The sequence below is a fragment of the Homo sapiens genome, chromosome 2 (assembly GCF_000001405.40).
Source record: "Homo sapiens chromosome 2, GRCh38.p14 Primary Assembly".
NCBI classification, from domain to species: Eukaryota; Metazoa; Chordata; class Mammalia; order Primates; family Hominidae; genus Homo; species Homo sapiens.
The window spans coordinates 53,452,352-53,457,751 of record NC_000002.12 but is presented as its reverse complement, the minus strand read 5'-3'; the positions used below and the strand labels follow the sequence as shown (position 1 = coordinate 53,457,751).

The 5,400-nt window shown below is 44.2% G+C and overlaps 1 annotated feature.

The window, feature by feature from the left end:
* Window positions 1,371-1,968: an enhancer, noted in NCBI's record as "OCT4-NANOG hESC enhancer chr2:53682922-53683519 (GRCh37/hg19 assembly coordinates)". NCBI's record gives its function as "activates a minimal SCP1, AML or CMV promoter by ChIP-STARR-seq in naive and primed H9 embryonic stem cells {active_cell/tissue: H9 hESC(naive and primed)}" and the evidence as "EXISTENCE:reporter gene assay evidence [ECO:0000049][PMID:30033119]".

Below are 5,400 nucleotides of genomic sequence, written 5' to 3'. Positions count from 1 at the left end.
ATGGAGAAAAAAGCTTGCCAGAGATGAGGAGGTCAAACAGCACAGAGGCCAAGATGCTGAATTGCTCATCCAGGTAGATATCAAAGTCATCAAGGTTGTGACCCAGTGTAGAATTAAAGAGGAAAAACAGTAAACTAGGTGCTAAATCTATTGGTGGATGAAGGGGGAGGTCCTGGGAGGTCTGTAGGGGTATTAAGAAAATCTGAAGTTTGGATCTTCAAGTGTGTTGGGATTTTTGAAGGAAGAAGGATGACGAATGATTTGGAAAGCCACGTCCTGTGGCAAACACAGTCCAGATACGAAACAATACCATTGCTGCTTCTTCCTGGGCACACAGACTACATCATCATGTTAAGTGTGGTCATGTGATATGGTCTAGACAGTAGAATGGGGATGGCAGTGATGCCCAGCAATTTCAGGCCTGCCCCTTAAAAACCATTTATGGGAAATGCTCCATTCTTTCTCTTCTCTTGTCTGCTGGATGGATGCAGAGGATCACTGGAGGACTTCCAGGCTCTATATGGGAGATGCACTTGATAGCAGTAACTACTTAAGGATTACCATGAGAATGACCCTGTAGGGCAGACACACCTGCATGTGTGTTTAGAGTTTTGAGCAAAGGAATCTGGGAGTGGCCAATCCAGAGATTTATTCTTTATCTATGAGGAACATCTGAACCTTCTTCCATCCTGTAAAACACAGGCTGTACAGGGGATCAAGGCCCTTTGCTTTGGATTAGATGAAGGTTGCCAGGTGGATGTTGTTAGGGGGATAGTGATAAGTGAAAATGCTATATAAACTGCATGCTTTTTGCAGGTGGTGGCGGTTCTCCTGCCCATTCTGCCACCACTGGACCTCTCTGAATGTTAAGTTCCCCTCAATAGACCCTATGTCTCATTTGCTGGCTTTGGGTCTCTTCAGCATCTTGAACCTGGTGCCTCTATCTGATGGTGGCTACTTTGCCTTGACTTGTGTGGACACCTGCTATTGCAGGCGTATGCCAGCAAGCATGCCACCCAGAAAACCACCAAACAGGGACTAGAGCATTGTGTGCAGCCTATGGGATCCCTATTAATATTAACAGTGACCAGTGCTCACACTTTGCTGGAGATCCTGGATAACCACTAGTATTTCCACCTGCCCTACAACCCTACACCAGCAGGGTTGACTAAATGGATGAATGGACTGTTGAAGCAACAACTCCAGTAAGGGATGCACTGTCTGGCTCTGTGGACACAGCACTTAGCAACAGCCAAATGCAGGCTGAATGAACGTGAACATTCTCATCACCCCAGCGCATGTTCTCTCCTGATACAGGACCTGATAGCACCATCAGGATCCAGGTAGATAGTGTAAGGGACACTATGCCTTTGCCCCAACCTGGGACTCAGGGTAATCTCTATTGTCCTTGCCACAGGATTTACCCACTGGGGAGTACATCATTACATGGGCCTGGAAGTGGCAAATCAGCATCTGATGGTTCTATTTATCTGCTCCAAGGGGGAAGGGCCTAGAACAGGATGTACAGGTTATGCCTATTTTACATCCTACTCCCCTTTGTATTTCTAAAATAATGATTGCCAGTCTTCCTTTTCGTAAGGGGACAAACATCCTCTCATTATAGAACACTGTAATACCTCCATTGTCTTACTCTAGCCTCCTGCAGTGCATCACAGAGGGGGCCAATCCATTTGGTATTGTAAACCAGGTACCAGGCTGCTGCCAGGTGTGGTGTACTCTCAGAATGACACAACTTCTTGTGTCCTGTTAAATGGTCATGACTTGCCCTTTCTTGTACCCACTTGATATGGTTTGGCTCTGTGTCCCCACCCAAATCTCATCTTGTAGCTCCCATAATTCCCACATGTTGTGGGAGGGACCTGGTGGGAGATGACTAAATCATGGGGGGCAGGTCTTTCCCTTGCTGTTCTTGTGATAGCGAATGGGTCTCGTGAGATCTGATTATTTTAAAAAATGGAATTTCTCTGCACAAGCTCTCTTTGCCTGCTTCCATTCCATGTAAGAGGAGTAGGCACTTGCTCCTTCTTGCCTTCCGCCATGATTATGAGGCCTCCCCAGCCATGTGGAACTTAAGTCCAATTAAACCTCTTTCTTTTGTAAATTGCCCAGTCTCGGGTTATGTCTTTATTAGCAGCGTGAAAACGGACTAATATACCACTGACCATCTCATCCTCCGCCCTTAGGTAGTGTGCAGCAAAGCTCTTTGCTGACTTGGTGCAGACGAGGGCATAACAAAGCACTCTGTTGGGCCTGTGGAGGGTTGCCCCTCTGCTCCACTGCAGGCCTGCTGTGGTGCATCCAAGCAGCTAACTTGAGTGCCTGGGGCCACTTCCGTACTTGTTTGTATTGCTGTTGTGGCGTTTGGCCGGAATACTCCTCCGCATACCTAGCCCCAGGGACGTCGTGGAAGAATTGGTGTGATAAGAATGTGAGGGCTGTTCAAAGGTATGCTGGAGTGGACTGTATGGTGGATGCTCCTGATAGCAATAACTTAAGCATACCCTGAGAATGATCCTGTCTGTATATGCATCTGTTTGTGTATTCAGAGTTCTGGGCTAAGGAATCTGGGAGTGGCCAACTTGGAGACTCATTCCCCATCTATGAGGAACATCTGAAGCCCTGGTGTATCTATAGAGGATTAAGGCCCTTTGTTTTGGGTTACATGATGTTTGCCAGGTGGACGTTTTTAGGGAAGGGTGCTAAGTGAAAATGCTATATAACCTTCATGGTTTTTGCAAGAGGTGAAGATTTTTCTGCCCAGCGTGCTATGACTGGACTGCTCTGTATGTAAGTTTCACTTAATAAACTCTGTCTCGTTTGCTGGCTCTGAGTCTCTTCTCCAGCCTCTTGAACCTGATGCCACCCCTATTGAAGTTAATAGGGGTCTGGCATGACAGGCCCAGGGGGTTGACGAGTTGCTAAATGAAAGGATCTTGGATCCCTGAATATCTGTTACTCTTTACCACCAGGTTGGCCCCACATGACCAAGAAAGTAACTTCTATTGTACTAAGTCACTAGCATTACTCTGGTCCATGTACTTAACTCTAGGCTCTGAAGTACATGGAGTGTGAGAGAAGAGAAATAAAAGTAAAAATAAAAATAAAACAAAACCAAAACCTTAAGAGGGCTACATGGGAAGTTGTCTGATTATGATGATAATATTATTAAAACCAACAGCAGTAGCTGCAGTAACAGCAATGTCGCCTATGTGGCCTCTGCAGGCTATAGACTTTGAAATTCCTGTCCTAGATACTGAGAATGGAGTTAGAGATCATTATGGCTTTTTGGGTAGCCATGCTGTGGTGTTGAATCTATTGAGTTCATTGCCTGTGAAAACCCAAGCATTTTCCTCATGAAATGCTATTTTCCATTGTGTCTTTCACCTTCTGCTCAGTCAGTTGTCGTTTTCAGATCCCACGTACACAACCATTTGTTACCATACCTGCTCCCACAGTTTCCTCATAGATCATATGGGAGTTGGCAGTCTTATCTGCCATTCTCTTCATAATCTCCTACTGCCTCAGTTTCCTCACTTGTAAAATATGAATAATAACAAACAATACATCAAAGCGCTGGTGTAAGGATTTAAAGAAGATTCATATAAGTAAATCATTTAGCATTTAGTGTCTACCATGTAGTAAGCCCTCAATACATGTTAACTATTATAATTGGTGGTGGTGCTTCTAGGATCTGATTTATCCAAGCCAAAGAAAATAAGTTTTTCAGAACACTCATTCTCAAAGACCAGCAGCATCAGTTTGGAAATTCTTGGGCCCCACCCCAGTCCTACTGAATTCGATGCTCTGAGGGTGGGGGTCCAACAAGCCCTCTAAATGATCTTGAAGTGCACTAAAGGTTGAAAACCATTGCTTTTGAGCAGCTAAGATATTCCCTTATCACCTCTTTACCCATTTTAGCTATGTTTATTTTCATTCTAAAAATTCTTGTAAGGATAGTCAATTTTATGGCTTAAAAATTAAGAATAAAAGTAAAGAAAATTCTCCAACCCATAAAACATCGCTGTTTTTAACTGCCAGCAGCAAAGTGTCAGGGTGTTAGAGAGAGCATGACCCTGGCGTCCAACCCCAGGTGCTTCTGTGACACACCGACTCCTATGGTTTGCCTTGTTTTCACTGAGACTGCAGAATGTGTTTAACAGGCCAGTGACCTTGCAGTCTAAATGCCAGCAATGCCAGAGTGCTGGCAGGTTTACAGCTGCAATCCCTCGCTGCAAAGGGAAGGATCAGATGGAGTCTTGGCTGTTTGGAGTGGAGGTGCGGGTTTAAAAGCAGCTCTGCTCTTGAAGCTATTTTCTTAAATTTCTTGGTGGATGGCTAAGAGTCTGGGTCCAGAATGACTTGTCTGTGACTTATTTGGATTGAGGCCCCACTTATGCTTTTTAATCTGGCTGTCCTCTGCTTTGGGCTTGATTAGGTCCTTAGGGATTTTTAATAAAAATAAAAGAGGACACAAATATGTAGTGGTCAGTTGGAATCTTTTTGATGCTATCATCCTCGTTTCTTTCCCCTTTCCTGCCTCTCCTTGTGCCTTGCTGAGTATTAGAACTTCAAAGGAAGGAAGGGCTTTGTAGTCTGATGCTGTCGTTCCACAGAGGTGGAAACTGACATCCTGAGATGGAACACAACTCACCCGAGGCCATCCTGCTGCTCTCCTTTCTGAGGCTACAAAGCTGTCCTCTTATATCTCCTCTCTCCATCCTTTCTAATTTGATTTTTCTTTCACCCACCTTATTTTGGCATGGATGTTTGTCTTTGGGAGTATGGTGATTTTTCTGAATAATGACTTTTTAAGAGTCAAAACAGCAACGTTCAACGCATTGGTTCTGGTGGTGGCAAGAATTTCTGTGTCTGCATGGTGTTCCCCTGAATTAGATACACTTGTTGGGATTCTTTCATTTAGGTTTCATGATAAATATTTTCTTCAGAGTTGGGTTACTTTCCTTCTCTAAAGTTATGATCAATTCAGTTGAGGTGACTTTATTGCTGTAGAAGAACTGAAAGTTGCAACAGATATTTCTGACATCCAGTGGTATTTCATGTGGGGATCAGGGTTCAGGCTTACTCACCTGGGCCAGCCAGCTGTAGAACAATCCCAATTAGCAAATTCAAATGCTAGCATCGGATTTCAAAGATGGCTGCTAGAGCCAGCTGTGGAACCAGGCTAGGCAGTAGTTCTCTAACTTCCTTTAACAGAGTCTCCTTACCTCTTGCCTGTGCTTTCTTTCCATTTGTCTTTTCATGATTGTCTCATTGAGGTTTAACTGACTGAAAAGTTCAAGGCACAGTGATCTCAAAATCTATGTGCATTTTTAGTAAATGGGATCTTCTAAGGTCCAAAGAAATGAAGCTCTAATGGTA